Below are 17,609 nucleotides of genomic sequence, written 5' to 3' on the forward strand. Positions count from 1 at the left end.
AATGAAACAATGCACATGAAACATTTCATGTAATGAGAAGTCTGCAGTAATGCTCAACCAAGGGTGTTTGCCACAGTTTTGTTTCTGTTGTCCTCATCCGCCTGCGACCCAGTCATTTAGCCTACAATGCAGAGTCCAGCTCTTCCTGGACCCCGTTCTAGTGGCTAATCCACAATGCCCATTCACCTGATTTTCTTGAGGCATCTCCAGTCCAGCAACAGGCATTAATCCAGACCCTACTCTGTGTGCAGTGTCATGACAGGCAGACTCCTTGGAGAAAATAAATAGACTGGGGTGCAAAATAAACATAATATTGTTTTTAAAACCTAACAGTCTTAATGCTAAAATTCTTCCAGCACACACAGGGCTCCTGACTCCCGCCCCTGTACTTCTTACCTTGCCTACAAATTCCCAGTTTGGTGTCTTATAAATAGTAGAACTTGATCACATTATTATGACGTGGATTTAACCTAAGCCCCAACGGGCTCCTTTCCTCCTTCAAACTTAGCACCTCCTGAGCCATGTGACTAATCCTATACTTACTTAGCAGGGTGAACAGAAGCAGCCAATATGCCAGACACACAGAGGCCCGGCCTCAAGCAGATCCCTCCATGGAGTTGCTCTGGCCTGTGCTCTGCCACAAGGCTGCTGCCCTGTCTGGGAGCCATCTCTGATGGGAACCAGACAATTTTCATGTACCTGAGTCCATTCTCCAATAACCCGCCCAGGACTTTTTTTTTTTTTTTTTTTTTTTTTGATAGAGTCTCACTCTGTTACCCAGGCTCAACCGTGATCTCGGCTCAACACAAACTCTGCCTCCTGGGTTTAAGTGATTCTCCTGCCTCAGCCTTCCGAGTAGCTGGGATTACAGGCGCCCACCACCAGTCCTGGCTAATTTTTGTATTTTTGATAGAGACAGGGTTTCACCATGTTCGTTGGCCAGGCTGGTCTCGAACTCCTGACCTCAAGTGATCCACTCACCTTGGCCTCCCAAAGTGCTGGGATTAGAGGCGTGAGCCACCGCGCCCATCCTAGGGCTCCTTCTAAGGATGGGATGGTGGTTTATTCTAGCCAGTAATCCAGGAATGAAGGCCTCCTCTGAGTCCTCTGAGTCCCGCTTTCTAGAGGCACTTACTTTTTAAACTCCCTCACCCTGGCCAGGGGCCCACATACCTGGATTTCTCTGATTCCTGGGATGGCTGAGACGCTCTGGCTGACTCTTGGCTGTCACTCCCTCCAGATCACTCTGTTCTTTGGAGACCAAATTGCCCTCAAAGGATGCAAATTGCCCTCACTGGTCTCTCCAGTCACCATGCTCCCCATCCACAAGTAGTGTGCCTGCTTCCTACATGCCAGCATCACTTAGCTGGCCTCTTCTCAGTAGCCACAGGCTTCTTAGCTCCTTCTCTGACATGGAAGATCTGAGAATGTGGCTGCAGTTACGGTGTTGGAGCCCAGAGGTGTCGCAGTCGAGAAACAACTAGAAGTCTTATGGCTTTCATTGTAAAGGCTTCAAAGTATATGGATTTTTTCCCCTCCATTAATTTAGTTCTGAATCTGTAAATGCCATCTGGGATTCTTTAAAAGTTTTCTCAACCAGTGTTTGTTGTTTGAGAAATACTATGACTTGCCTCATTGTGGGCTGTTGAGAGAATTGATGCTCTGTTCTTTGTTCCACTGCACGCCACCTGAGAGGCACTTGTCTGTTTACTAATGCACGGAGAGCAGTATTTTTAAAGGATGAGAGGATTGGGAAAGTAGCCTTGAAACAGACCCAAATGAAACAGAAAAAGGATAATATTAGGGCTGCTAGAGATGGAGGATCCTGGAAAATATGCTTCTTCAATACAAATCATATATGTGTGTGGATGTAGATTATATATGTGTATATATATATATATACACACACACACACACACACACACACACACACACATATATGCCAAGATTTGTAAGTAAGCCATCTCTACCTTCCCATAAGAAAGAGAGCTGGAGCCTCAGCAGGGGTAAATGAGCTTCCTGCAGGTTTAAGAAGCTGTTCCCTGATCCAAACCGGAGTGCTTGAACAGTTCCGATAATGAAATGAAATGAATTTTCAACTGCTATAGAAATGCTGCTCAGCCGACCCAGACAGGCATCTCCATTGGTGCTCACACAGAAAATGAGTTTATCACAGATGTTCCATCTCTTAAAAGTCTTCCTCCCATTTTATTTTAAGCAACTCGCTCTCTGAATTGGTCCTTCACAAGGTTATCCACATCTGAGCAGCAGAAAGAGCACCTGACCTGCCTCATACCTTTCCTGAGAGCAAAAGCAGCAAATGCATTGTTCAACCTGGCCATCCTGGTGGAGGGATATTTTTGGAGTGAGGTTAGCCAAGCACACGTGAGTGAGCACCAGCCCAGCAGCCCACCTGTGTACACAAACACACACACTCCCAGGTCCAAATTATGTTAGGAATTTCCTGATGAGAAAAATTTATTTACTTATGTATTCACATGTGTAGGTCTTTCCAAGTTACTGAGATTTGAACACGTAAGAAAATTACATTTCAATGAGTAAAAATGACCATAAGAAAGCTAAACATCAGACTGATAAAAATATTTGCAATAAGTGACAGACAAAGGTTTATTATTATTCTTTTTTTACAGAAAGGGATCTTACCAACCCTAAGAAACAAGTAAAATCTTTCATTCCCCTCCTCCAGCTTAAAACTGCATAAAGGGCAGAACCAGCTAATTCACAAAAGAGAATATATAATTGCTCAATAAGTGCATGAAAACAATTCAAATATCTAGTAGTCACAGGAAGATTTTTTTACAATTTGAAATGGCACCAATTTTTATTTGTTTAAATATTTAATGCTTGTAGGTTTAAGAGTGTTAAGTGACAGGTATGATGGGTCATGACTGTGATCCCAGCACTCTGGGAGGCTGACGCAGGAGAATCTCTTGGGCCCAGGAGTTCAAGACCAGCCTTAGCAACATAGTGAGATTGCATCTCTACTAAAAATTTAAAAAATTAGCCAGGTGTAATGGCGCACACCTGTGATCCCAGCTGCTCTGGAGGCTGAGGTGGGAGGATCACTTGAGCCCAGGAAATCAAGGCTACAGTGAGCAGTGATTACGCCACTGCACTCCAGCCTCAGTGACAAAATGAGACCCTGTCTCAAAAAACAAACAAACAAAAAAGAATGATAAGTATTCTTTAACACTTCAAGTGAAAGTATAAATTGGTTTTATTGTTTTAGAAGTCAATTTAGTTTACATGTCGATTGATCTGATTTGTGAAAACAATTTTAAAATATAATAAAATATTTGTTTCAGTATGTTAATAATTCTAGGCTGTAAAAACAACATATTTACCAATAAAATATATGATTTTATATAAATATAAAATATATAATATTAACAAATGCATTTGTAAGAAAAAGACTAGAAAACAATAGATTATTAGTGGTTATTAAAAAGAATGATAAACTTTTAAGTGACTTTCATTATTTCTTTATTGCTTCTCTTTATTTTTTATTTATTTATTTATTTTTTGAGATGGGGTCTCACTCTGTCGCCCAGGCTGGAGTACAGTGGCATGATCTTGGCTCACTGCAGCCTCTGCCTCCTGGGTTCAAGCAATTCTCCCACCTCAGCCTCCCGAGTAGCTGGAATTACAGGGGCATGCCACCACGCACAGCTAGTTTTTGCAGTTTTAGTAGAGACGGGGTTTCACTATGTTGGCCAGGCTGCTCTCGAACTCCTGACCTCAGGTGATCCACCCGCCTCAGCCTCCCAAAGTGCTGGGATTACAGGTGTGCATCACCGCGCCAGGCCTATTTTCTACATTTTAAAAAATGATCACTATTTTGTTTATATCAGAGAAAAAATGTAAAACATTGTATGTATGTTTTTAAAAATACACGTACATACCTTAGTTTTCTTGCTGAGAAGTTTTAATATCTAGGTCTTTGAATAGTTTTCTCACCCCACCTTTATTTGAACAGTGGATATGCATGAAGGACTTCCAGGCCACTGAAAGTTGTCTGCGCATATGAGGTGTGGAGAGAGAGAGTCACATCTGACTTATCGGCCACATGGCTCTGTAATTATATATAATGTTATTGGTCACATAGCTCTGTAATTATATATAATGTTGCAAATCCTAGTTTTCCATTTTCTCTGACTGTATGCTTTTGTTTAAAAAGAAATCACCAGCACATCTCATTATACAGGATGCCATCAGTGTACTTTTTTAGGAAGTGGACTGAATTTGAAACATTGCTTTTATTTTAGTTTTGCAGCTCTGAGTTTGGTAATGTCCTGGGCACGGGCTGTATTTCACTGCAGAGTCCACGTGTAGTCCAAGTGGGGTTGTTGCCTATGCCTAATGTTACAGTACTCTGCAGTTTACAGTGCATTGCATAACTCCAAGATTGAAGAGTGCATCTGGTCCAGATGATGTGGACGTGGCATGATACATACCAACGAATGCAGAAAGCTCCCATGTGGATGCGGATGGACTCAGAGAGAGCCTGCTGTGTTTCCAGAAGGTCTGATATGATCTTTACTCACCCAGACTTTATCACCCACACAGGCTGGATTTCCAGCTATCAAGCAGAATGAAGGTTTGAATTATTGTGATTTTGGTGCTAGAAAGAAATTTAGCTTCATGGATTATGAAATTCTGTAATATACTTGCCATATATGTAAAAGTGTTTGACATAAAGTCTGGCTCAAATTAAGGAACCCAAAAATGGTAATGCCAAGAGTAGACTTCGGAGGTTATAGGAATGGATTCAAACATTAGTTTATCAAATTCCGCGCTCTTAACTTTTGTGGTATAGCGGGTTTTTGGTTATAATAACACTAAGAATTGATGGATATGTAATTCATCATTTTAGGTATTTAGGGCTCATATTCTTTATGAAATGACTTCTTTGCAAAGATGCCTGCAAGAATAAAGGAGGATGGAAAGAAAGCTGCAAAAATGACTTTCCATTGGCTCCCCAGTGGACAAGATAAAAGTGGGAGAAGCACAGAGACGTATCTCAAAGGCAGGAAGAGGCTGGCTTAAAACAGCCGTGGATTAATGTGAGAAGGCCCAGGCCCCTTAGTATTTCTGCAAATCAGACCCAATACTCAGGTACCAACCATCTTTGAAAAGTTAAGTAATTCCCAGTAGCCTCATTTGTACCTTATTATAAATTGCAACGATCAAAACAGTCTCTGCCTGTTAGTCCACGGACTGAGAAGTCCACGGACTTTAACAGAAGTGTTAAAGAGAGGCAGAGTTTGAAAAGATGGACACTAGACGTGAGTGAGAGGGAGTTTGACCAGCCTGAGGCTCTGGAAGCCAATGACAGGTAGTAGAGGGATTCAGAAACCAGAGAAAAAGGCCATAATGACCACAGCTAACAGAACACCTCTGGCCATGTATCGATTACATGGATTTTCCAAGTTTATTAGTTTCACAGAGAATTACGGGCTAATGGGTCTACCCTTTCAAAACTCAGACGCCCCAGCTTCACTCTCAGGGTCTTTCCTTGCACTTTTGCAAATACAAAGCAAGTTCACTCACTACTGAATTAAAGCGATACGTACATTTAATAGAAAATATCATCAACATGTGTATTTTAAACGTGTGCTTTTAATCATATGTAAATTGTATCTCAATAAATAAAATATAAGAAAAAGCCAGCTTTTGAAATTTAAAGTTGAATTTTTCTAAGGCTTTGAAAGCTTGGCTTGGGTAAAGTAAATGATTCTTTTCCTTTAATTCCACCAGCTCACATTCACCTAACCAGAAGAAGGCCTGGCGATGTAGTGCAGGTGAAATTTTACTGAAAGCAATGGGGTAGAGGGTTCTGAATGGGGGACTTGGGGTACTGGATAAGGGAGAAACACTACATAGGTTCATGGAAAGTCTGAAAGCAGGGAATCCTGAGAAGAGACTTTCAAAGTAGGTTTGAAGGATTTCACGTCAGTTGCCAAGGCAGGTGGTTAGACAGATAAGCCTGAGTGTTCTTGGCTCCTTAGGGACTAAAAATGGAAACTGCTTGTGAGAAATCCAGAAAGTTCTCTGTGCTTAATGGAGGGAGGACTTGGAAAAACTTTCAAAGATAGTGGACAAGCTGAAGTCTGGGTCAGCAAAAGGAGGCCTTTATGTACTGGGATTTGACAATTAGAAGCAAAAGGCAAGGATCAGAATCTAGAGCAATGGGTGGCATCATGATGTTTCAAGAAACCAGATGAAAGCAGGGTACTCCAATAGGCAACCTCCAGGATGCAAGCCAAAGTGTCACCAGCAGAGACATGTGAACATCTACAGACACTGACCCAATATGGGAAGGTTGAAAAAGCTAAATGGCCAACCATTTGCTCAAAAGACGCCAAAGCATCCAATGAAGACGGCCTGAGCATAAAAATTCTGAGATAAACATTTAATTGCAAATATAAAGTCAATTTTTTTCTTGCTACTGAGAAAGGTAGGGATTTATTTAGGGTTATTTAGGGATTTATTTAGGATTATTAAATTAGTTATATAAATGATAGAATATACCTCTTCACACATTTGAATTACACTGAATATAAGTTTTTAAACGGCTTTATTGAGATCTAATTTACCTACCGTATTACCATATAGTTCACCCATTTAAAGTGCATCCTTCAATGGTTTGTGGTACATTTGCAGAGTTGTACAACTATTACCATAATCTAATTTTAGACTTTTATATTATCCCCAAAAGAAAACTCATGCACATTGAATGTAAAATTTTGATCACACTTGATAATTTAAAAACTTTTGGATGAAATTTTAAAAGTAGGTTGGGAGAGGAAATTTTATTAAAATGATCCAAGGGCACTGGATCTCAGGAATGGACTAGACCTAGGAACAGGAAGTCCACCCTATTTCTCTCTGTGTCCCTACTTCTCTCAAGTGTCTGCTCTATTCTGTATTCTCTGCCAGAGACCAAATTTCTAGTGTTTTTCAGAGTCACCCACAACAGCTTGGGAGGCCTCATAAATATTGCAGTTCCAGCGATCCTCAGACTCTAGAATTCCAAAAGCTTGGGGCAGCTAGCCACTTCCATACCACCAAGTGGTAGCTTGGGATGAAGACCCATATGTGGCTCAAACGTGATATTTAAACATCCAATCCCATGGACCATCAACAAATTACAGGCAAGCTGTGTTGCAGATACTATGGAATGATTCAATAATCACACTTTCTCAATTCCCATTCTCACCTCTATCAAGTATGATGATTGATAATTCTACTATGCAGATTAGAATTCTACAAACTTGCTCTCAGCTTCCCTTGCAGTGAATTGTAGCTTCCTGATTCCAGACAAGAAAATACCTGCAAAAATCATTGGGGAAAAAAATTAATTGGCAAAAAATAAAGAGCAATGTGATATCTATAATTGCAACAGCCATCTGTGACCATGAGATGAGAGCAATGAGGACAAAGGCTAGTGTAAAGGATGGCAAAGCAGAAATATGGAGTAACCTGGGTCTCTGATGGTATTTGGTTTGCCCTGGACTTCATAAGATAAAAAAATCTCTTTGTGTTTCTGCTGTTAGGCTTTCTGTTCTTGTAGGCAAACCCATGCCAACCAATGAACAAGGAAATCATCATCTGAACATATACCCCAAATGGTATTTACTATATTCTTGCCGCTCCTTTCCACCTTTATTCATTGATCTCTTCATTCACAAGTATCTGTTAATGACCACTATATGATGGAGACTCTTGCAGGTGCTGAAGATATGGTGATGAACTAGATAAAGTTCCTGAGCTCCTAGTGATGAGATCTACCTAGTGGAAACTCAGGTTCTGCAATAGCCTCTTCCAGATGAGCCTCCTCTTAATTCGAGACGCACCTCCAGGTGAAATCTACTGATTCACAACATAAAGGGAAACTTAACTAGGGTTTCTCTTTTGGGTGTTTGTCCCCTTTCATCAACCAACTGGTAAGCTTCTCAAGATAAGAGACTATGATTTGTGCTTCTTTTATGCCTCAGTTTTTGGCACTTGGAAGTTTTATAATAAAGTCTTCTTGGTTGACTAATATTTTGGCCAAAGTGAAGAAATTGTAAATTTTGCCCCAAATACCTTTCCAGCAGCACCTGCCTTACTTTCACCTACCGTGTATCCTTCAAGGGGGTCAGAAACATGGATAAGGTCCCTTGCATTTTTAGCCATTTGCCGCTGTCTCTCTGGTTTATATATCCTATAAAAGTTGGATTTATTTACATTGTTCTTGGTTGGAATTCAGTTTGTACAGCCTTTCCTTTTGGAAGATTCCTGCAAATTTCCTCATACTTACTGCCATTCCTTAAGCTATGTTTCAGCACAGAGCTTTCTTTGTTCACAAGAATTCTGAGTGTCTTGCTGCAGCAGCTGCACATAACCTATACAGGAATGTGTCCATCGCTTTTTTGTGAAGGGGGATACATGTGTGGTTTCCGAACCCCTATGCCTCAATGAAAGGGTAGTAAAAAAAGTTTATGTCGATGAGAAGATTTTTGTTCCCTAATGCCAAAACAGCAGCAAGTCTGAACCAGAAATAACATGTGTATGAAGAGGAATGCACTTGCTTTGAGCAGCCAAAGTGTGGCAGCTCAGTCTATGAAAGCAACCTACTATTCAACATTGATTGACTATTAGCATATTATAATTTAACCTCATATTGCAAAGATTCTTCATGTAAATGGTTGGGAAAAAATCTGTAGGCAATTATTGTTAATAACAAGCAATTTACAGCATCCGGGGATCATAAAACCTGTTACAAATTAGTATGCAGTATCATTCAAAACACACCATCATGAAGGGGAAGAACAGAGAGGTTAAGGGGTTTCACAAAGACTCCACAGCCAATCACAGGGAACAATGCGATGACCAGAGGCTGGGGGTCAATGGAACTCATACTAGAAGCACCCAAATTCCAACACCAGAGCAATCCCATGACACTGCCGTCCTCCGCTCTCTTACATTCCCACATCACCCACTCATCAGATTCTTCTCTGTGGTCCATTAACCTTCAAAGAGTTGAGCAAAGACAGTCAAAGGCATCACAATAGATGTATGGAAACAGTGGGACTTGAACACCTGCATACAAGTAATGAACAACAAAAACAAAAAAACCTGACAAAAACCAATTAGTCCCTAAGTAACAGATTATTTTAATCAGTATATAAGCAAGTAGATGTTGTCCACTGGGTACAAATGATTCTTCATTCTTCTCTCTTATTCTCTCTGTCAATAGATCTCTTCTGTAATTAGTCCCAAGTTAGAGAAACATAGTCAAAATAAAAATCAAGAGTACCTTTAAGTCCACAGAAACAAAGGAAAGATGTTCCTGTAGCTTTTTGGAGACATATGAAAAACTCCTGCATGACATACATTTGTGGAGAATGTATGACAGCCGTAGGGCCTGAGGTATCATTTGTGGGGGACTTAGGGTGACAGTCTTTTTTTTTTTTTTTTTTTTTGAGATGGAGTCTCACTCTGTTGCCCAGGTTGGACTGCAGTGGCATAATATGAGCTCACTGCATCCCCTGCCGCCCAGGTTCAAGCGATTCTCCTGCCTCAACCTCCCAAGTAGCTGGGATTACAGGTGCCTGCCACCACGCCCGGCTAATTTTTGTAGTTTTTAGTAGAGATGGAGTTTCACCATCTTGGCCAGGCTGGTCTTGAACTCCTGAACTTGTGATCCACCCACCTCGGCCTCCCAAAGTGTTGGGATTACAGGCATGAGCCACTGCACCCAGCCAGCCAATAGTCTTAAGGTCAATAAGACTGGCAATTATATAGAAGTGGATGCTGTGTATAATCCTTATTTGAGGAAGAGAGCAAAAATAGCTCTGAGTTCTTCCTTTCATTTTGCACAAAGAGAAATTATTCATTGGATTTATTTGCCATTAAGAGGCATCTTTGAATTGTGGGAGGTGTAACACCTTTCTTGAAAGAGTGCTCCCATATCTCCTGCCAGTTAAGCTTGTTAGTTGAATATGTAGCTCTGCTACGTGTAGCTTTGAGATCCTCTTATATAAAAGACACCTAATCTTCCTGCTTGTCCTCACGCCAATTCCTTTTGCCATGAAACTACTAGTATAACCTAAATCAAAAGAAAATCTTTTGAACCCACAGATACAGCAGATGAGACTGTTCTCAAGCCCACAGTCCTCTAGGGAGCTTTTTTTTTTTTTTTTTTTTTTGACTACTCAGTCCAGTCAATATAATCCAACGTAGTTCAATAAAACTCTATGCCAGGATTTAAGGGCTAGCAAAGGAAACAGAAATAATCTCGCCCTCCAGAAGCTTGCAACATTCTTTTCCTCTCAAAATCCACTGTCCAAAATGTCTGTACTATGCGTATGTTATTAGATATACATGGTCTTTATTTTTATTTAGCTTTTCAAGGGAGGCTATCTTGAGACTCTGTGCAGACAATTCTTCAAGGTCAGTAAATTTGCCATTTGTGTTCTCCAAAGCACCCAGCATAGTTCAAGGCCTATGGTAATCATAATTTAAGGCTACTCTACAAACATTTTTAGTCAATCAATCAATCAATAAGAGTATTCATTGCATCTTTATAGGAAGTATTATATCAGGTTCCCGATCCTGCACTCATCTGAGGGGTTTCTATCTAAAGGATCAAATAGGACATCCACAAGAGATCAAAGTTTTGTAACCATATGCCAGAGATTGGAAATTACCACTGTATTATAGATTTGGGATTATCTTGGAATTTTATGGCATTTCCTACCCATCTTTCTTCTCACTAAAGTTATCTGCAAAAATCCTTGGGGAAGGAGAAATTGGCATCTTAAGTTTAATTGCATACCTAGAGTCAAACAATAAGCAGGAGCAAGATATTTGGTCACATCACTATTGATATATAAAGAGCTTGATCGGCACCTTCTGTTTCAAAAATGTTGAAATTTACCACTATGAGGAAAAAGGATAAATACAAGTTTCTATATCACAGGATGTCTCAGAGCCTTTACCTGGCTATAGTACACCATAACTTTCCATGAGAAACATGTCTGTAATATTTCCTAAATATACTTGAAAATGGGACTCATATTTTCAAAATACCTTGTATGACTGGTGTTCCACAAAACATAAATTGGACTAATCTATGAGGTTTACAATACACGAGATCCGTCCTTCAATGACTGTACAAAATGCAACTCCACTTCTTTGTCAATCTGAACAACTTTAGAAAATGTGTGTAAGTAGAAATTTGCAATAACTTTCACCTCTACATTGAAAACAAAAAAACTCTTTACTCTTTTTACAGGCTGATATGTGACTTTTCTCCAAACACCCTTCAAAACCATCTCTCTGATCTGATTCTACACAGTAGTGTATGCCCAGCAGGCTTTCTTGCATCTGTGTTTCCAGAGAAGCCATGGTAGCCTATATGTACAGTTCTTTTAGATGATAATTAAGGATTAATTGGATTAATTAGAAAACATTTTTAGGACCAGCCACAGTGGCTCACACCTGTAATCCTAGCAATTTGAGAGGCCAAGGCAAGAGGATTACTTGAGCCCAGGAGTTAGAGACTAGCCTGGGCAATGTGGTGAGACCACATTATATGGTTAGGCTTTTTGTCCCCACCTAAATCTCATCCTGAATTGTAATCCTCATAATCCGCACATGTCAAGGGAGAGACTAGGTGGAGGTAATTGAATCACAGGGGCAGTTTCCTCCACGCTGTTCTCGTTTCGTGATAGTGAGTGAATTCTCACGAGATCTGATGGTTTCCCTCTTTCTTCAGCACTTCTGCTTCCTGCCGCCTTTTGAAGAAAGTGCCTTGCTTCTCCTTCACCTTCCACCATGTGTATTTCCTGAGGCCAACCCAGCCATGCTGAACTGTGAGTCAATTAAACCTCTTTCTTTTATAAATTACCCAGTCTCGGAAAGTTCTTTATAGCAATACGAAAACGGACTAATATACCTTGTCTCTACAAAAATAAAAAAAACTTAGCCAGTTGTGGTGGTGCACACCAGTGGTCACAGATACTCAGGAGGCTGAGACAGGAGGATCATTTGAGCTTGGGAAGTCAAGACTGCAGTGAGCCGTGATTACACCACTGCATTCCAGAGATAGAGGGAGACAGTGCCTCAAAAAAGAAAAAAAGAAAGAAAGAAAGAAAAGAAAACATTTTAAGACACCAAGATCTAGACCTTGTATATCATGCTCAAACATGGTATATTTCAGGGTAAATGATAACAGCAAATAGAGATAAAATCCTGATGGCCTCACTAATGAGAGTTCCTTGATTTCATGTTTTGTGTTACTTTTGTAACCACCTTGCTCTTCATCATGTCCAAGTCTGTTTTTGTTGAAGAATTAACATCAAAGCAAAATATGTGACAAGGTTCTTACTTTTAACAACTTTCTTAATTAAACTCATCAAGTTCCTTCTTTTCCTCAAGTTGAAAATTTATGTCCTCACCCAAAGGTACCATATGCCCCTGAGTTTTAGGATGCTCAAACCATATACCCTGCTGCTTATTGTTTTAAAAACTAAACACATTCACACCCGAAATAACTACAAAGCCTGTCTCCAAGCCACACACCAATCAGACAATGCCTGTTTGAATTCACCACTAATTGATTGCATGCACTAGACACATGGAAAAAAGTACGTTGCTGCAGTGTTTCCTAATGACTTCCAGAACTGAACTCTTCAGAACGTCGTGAATCACAGCAAGCATGTGTCTAGGTTGCAATTGGGAGATTGTTTAATTATTTACTTTTAATATAGGCTCTTTGCAAAGGAATGTTTTCTGAGATCTTTGTTACTCAAAGTGCTGCCCTAAGACCAGCAGCATCAGCGTTCTGCGGAGCTGTGGTAGAAATGCTAAACTAAACTCCACCCAAACCTCGTGAGTCACAATTGCCAGTTCGGCAAGGAGCTCAGGTGATTCTTATTCACATTAAAGTTGAAGAAGCCCTGAAACCTGGGAGACTTTTGGTCAAATTTCCCTTTCTAGGCTTGAAGCCCATTCACATTTATTGTACAGTAAATGATTTTTTTCCTTTCCTACAAACATAAAAATATATTGTTAACAAATCATGGTATTGTATTAATAATACAAGGAATATGAGAGATTTTCCCATGATGAATATTGGATGTTGCAACAAGCAGAGAATGTAATGATTGCAAAGTTCCCTTAGGAAATCTTTCTTATTTAACAGTGTGCTTGTTTACTTCAATGTGGCCACTAAGTTGTAGAGGTGTCTGTTGACCTCACGTCATGCAAAGTCATGAGTCAATGATTGGCTTTCATAGAAGTCAATCATTTATGTTTCAGAGAGGTAATAAAAAAAAGGCCTAAACAGGCCGGGCGTGGTGGCTCACGCCTGTAATCCTAGCACTTTGGGAGGCCAAGGAGGGCGGATCACGAGGTCAGGAGATCGAGACCATCCTGGCTAACACGGTGAAACCCCATCTCTACTGAACGTACAAAAAATTAGCCGGGCGTGGTGGCGGGCGCCTGTAGTCCCAGCTACTCAGGAGGCTGAGGCAGGAGAATGGCATGAGCCCAGGAGGCGGAGCTTGCAGTGAGCCAAGATTGTGCCACTGCACTCCAGCCTGGGCAACGGTGCAAGACTCCGTCTCAAAAAAAAAAAAATGGCCTAAACAAAACCCCCACATTTTAAACAGCTTCCATTGTATCTGCCTCCCTGTAAAATAGCTTGAATTTGGGGGAAAAGATTATTTTAAGTCAGGGGCTGAACCGATGTGGGTAATACCTAAGTGATGTTTAACACTCTGAAGATCGAGAATGACAGCATTGTAGAATAATGTACTGATCTCCATCTTTGGTGTGATAGTTCTGCTTTACTGTTTATATTTGTAAGTCCTGGAATTTGGCCTAGACTAGAAGAGTCATCCACTGATTGGATAACACAAAAAGCTGAAAGGAACAAGGTGTAATGCTCAAGAAAAGCCTTCGATTGTTAACAACTTCAGATTTTGTTCAGTTTTTTTTAATCCCCTTCAAATTAGTCACCTGAAGAGGCCCACACTTTTTTGTTCCTGCAGTGTTGTTATCAGAAACATTCTTTTCTAACTTATCTTTTAAAACTTGGGCCAGGTGCGGTGGCTTATGCTTATAAACCCAGTGCTTTGGGAGGCTAAGGCAGGAAGATCACTTAAGGCCTGGAGTCCAAGACATGCCTGGACAACAGAGCAAGACTTGTCTCTGAAAAAAAAAAGAAAGAAAGAAAACTGCCCTCAAAATGATCTCATGAGACTCACAGGGAAATGATATGACTGGTTATTAAATTTTGAACTTTGTTATCACACCTTATCACCCACACTTAGCTCTTAGTGATCTTGAACTATTTCTCTGTAATTTAGAAACCAGCCCTAAAATAAAGCTTGCACCACTTGGTTGTTTAAAAGCTTGTCCCCAGCTTTGTTATTCCAATAGAGGAATTCCATAGCAGCTTTGGCCAGCAGCAAAATAAGAACAGCTTCCTCATTCTCAGTTTCTCTTTGTGGAGATAGAAAATACTCAGATTAAGATGTTCAAGTGTGTGGTAATTCTGGTAAGTTTTGGCAAAAACTATCAATTCAGTCTACAGTCATGTCTTATCATGTATAGTATTCATCTAATTTTGTATATGATGAATTACGTAACTGGTGAATTGTCAAAAGTTTTCTCCATCTCTGAAAAAGCCGTAATTCCCACTCCTCTGCCCTAGCTCCCTATAAAGTAAAACCAGAAAAGGAGTCAGTGAGCTGTCACAGAGAGGTCCACTATATGAATAAAGGGGTGTGTGTGTGGTGTGTATGTGTGTGTGTGTGTGGTGTAGGTATGTTTCTAAATGCACACTCATAACCATACCACACCACTTTGTCTAGTTTTCCTGTGCTTGCAAGTCAATTGTGATATTCTCAATGTCTGTTTCAATGATGGCTCAGTGAAGAGTCTTCATCCATTTCTTATCTCTGAATCTTCTCAGGATATGGGCTGGACTGTCACAGAGTGTGCGGGCTGGTGCCCATAAGAGGCTATCTCTGAGGTTCTGTGTCAAGAGTCTGCCAACCCTCTTTCCCACTTTTCCCAGTATCCATTTTCCCTATTTTCCTCAATATCAGAAATATGCTTATCTGATTATATAGCCATTATACAGCCACCCACACACCCCAGGAAAAAACGGGGAGGAAGTGCTAGATTTTCCCAGCCTTTCTTGCAGCTAACTGAGTCATGCAGCTGATTTCTGGTCAATACCCCAGTGGCAGAAGTTGTGTGTACATCTTCCAGAAAGCATCCTTAAAGGCCAGCAGCTTATCCTCATAGACCTCTCTTTTCCTTTTTACTGACTGGAATATAAATTTAATAGCTGGAGCTCCAGCAGCTACTTTGAACCATAAGAATCATTACAAACAAAAGTCACAAATGGGAGAAAAAGACTTTATTCTAAAAAATAAATGGGAGAGAAGGAACTTTAATACCATGGCCTGCCATACCAGCCCCAGACTACAGAACTTGATATGGCAAAGAAAGAAACTTTGAACTTAAGTTGCTACTATTATTTTAGGTTATTGTATTACTTATGGCTAAACCTAATAGAAGCTGACAAAACCTCTTGTGTGTGATATTGGGCTCCTCAATCAGGGTAGGGATGTCTTTCTCCTAGTTTCTCTAAATAGCGGCTAGTTCATTAATTATTAGCTAGGCCACTTTAATTGACAATTTATCAAGAATTGTCTTCAGTATTTCTTGTTGTCATTGTCATTTTAAATTCATATTTAAAGCACTAATTTCAGTTCAACTTCTGTGTACTTTCATTTATTAAACCTTGCTTTTTCAACTAAATTGGAAGCTTCTTCCATTGTTGACTCACATCCAGGGATTCCAGATATTTAAGCCTCAGTGATAACTCAGGGAGACATTTAGCACCTCGTGTTGAAATTTGAAATGCATTTGTGTTTTTTAGAGATAGGCTGTACATTTGTATACAGAGTTACTAAAAAGTAAGTTAGCATGTGGTTTAAAAGCTTGGTTTAAATCCCCTATATTGAATTAGGTGAGTTACTTACCCTCACCATGTCTTGGTTTCCTCATCTGGAAGATGAAAAAAATCATAGATGAAAAAAATATACATGAAGGTTAAAAATATAAAATCCTCTCTTAGGAAGAAGTTATCATAATTAGTCTCATTTATAGGTGAGGAAGTGGATTCTTCAAGGTAATAGATTAGGGAGAGGTGACAGCAGTGTTCTCATTTTTTTTCAAGTGAAGACGAGAATAGAATAGTCCTATGAGTGTCTTACAGTTGTATAGAACTTTACAGTTCATAAATCACTTTGCCCCTCCTATCTGATTTAATTCTCATGTGAACCCAGAAGAAACAGATATGATCTAACGCCAATTTACAAAACAGGAAACCAAAGATCAGAGAGGTAAAGTGGCTTTCCCAGGATTACATAGATAGTAAGTAGCTGACCCATTTATTCTGGGTCCAAATCCAATTGGTCTTCCTACTATTTCATGCTGTACAATCTCGAAAATCTTAGCATAAGTCAGTAGCAGAATTTAAGGCCCAACAATCTGATTTTTGTCAAGCTTTCTGGGAAAGGTCAAATGAGGAGTACCTAGAATCGCACATTATCTGACTACCAAAAGATTTGTCCACATCCTATGAGAAAGCTGAAAGAATGCATGGGAATATAACCCAACAATTCTACTCTCAATGCACATATATTATCTATGGGTAGGCACCAAGTCTATGTTTACCCTTAGGAGGCACAATAAGAAACAACTTGAATTTATCTAGGAAAAAAAAATTGATTTTTTCCCCCTGATCAAAGGAATAAGCCAGAATTGTCTAAACCTTCCTTCCTCAAATGCCGAGATGAGCATTTCCTTTCATCAAGTATCCCAGCAATTTCTTTCCTACAGTTAAATCTTGAGTGTGGACCCTGTGGACATCCAATGACCTGGAATATAGAGGCGCTATCCCAGAAGATCTGGGCCCAGGTGCAGAACAAACCAATGCTCTTCCTAATGTGTTCCTCTTTTCAGTAACAATAAAAAGTTATAATCACTTTTTTAATCAGTTTTCCCCATTTGGATAAGCACAGTCCATGGCTCTCTCTGGTCCTAAACATGCTGTTCATGCCTGTTAATGACCAGCCCCCATCGTTTACTAAGCACATGCTCATCTCACTTTGGTGAATTAATATTGGCACTTAGCTCACTTATAAAGGCTATTTATTATCAATTTTTCAAATTAGCAGTTGATTGGCATTCAGTATAACTTCTTTTGGGGGCAGGGTCTTGATGTACAGCTAATTAAACTAAGGAATTCATCTGTTCAAAAGTTAGAAGAATTAGAATTGTGAAAAAATAACATTTTTTGCCTCAAAATTGCTATACTCATATGTATAAAGTTTCTATATAATGTGATGAAATAATTATTGTAATTAGCAACTTAATTTGAATTTAGATGCAATTTGTTTTTTTTCTTTTTAGAAATCTAAATTAATTCCCTGGGAAACTGATGAGAATTTTTCAAAGTAGAAATAAATGCCTGTAATAAATCAAGAGATAAGGGAACAGGCAGAGATTATTCTGCA

At 39.7% G+C, this 17,609-nt stretch overlaps 1 annotated feature.

Annotated features, from left to right (window-relative positions):
• Positions 7,025 to 8,224: an enhancer, noted in NCBI's record as "BRD4-independent group 4 enhancer chr18:52673697-52674896 (GRCh37/hg19 assembly coordinates)". NCBI's record gives its function as "activates an origin of replication core promoter dependent on BRD2, P300/CBP, MED14 and CDK7 cofactors, and independent of BRD4, by STARR-seq in HCT116 cells {active_cell/tissue: HCT116}" and the evidence as "EXISTENCE:reporter gene assay evidence [ECO:0000049][PMID:35650434]".

This window comes from Homo sapiens, chromosome 18 (genome assembly GCF_000001405.40).
Source record: "Homo sapiens chromosome 18, GRCh38.p14 Primary Assembly".
NCBI lineage: Eukaryota > Metazoa > Chordata > Mammalia > Primates > Hominidae > Homo > Homo sapiens.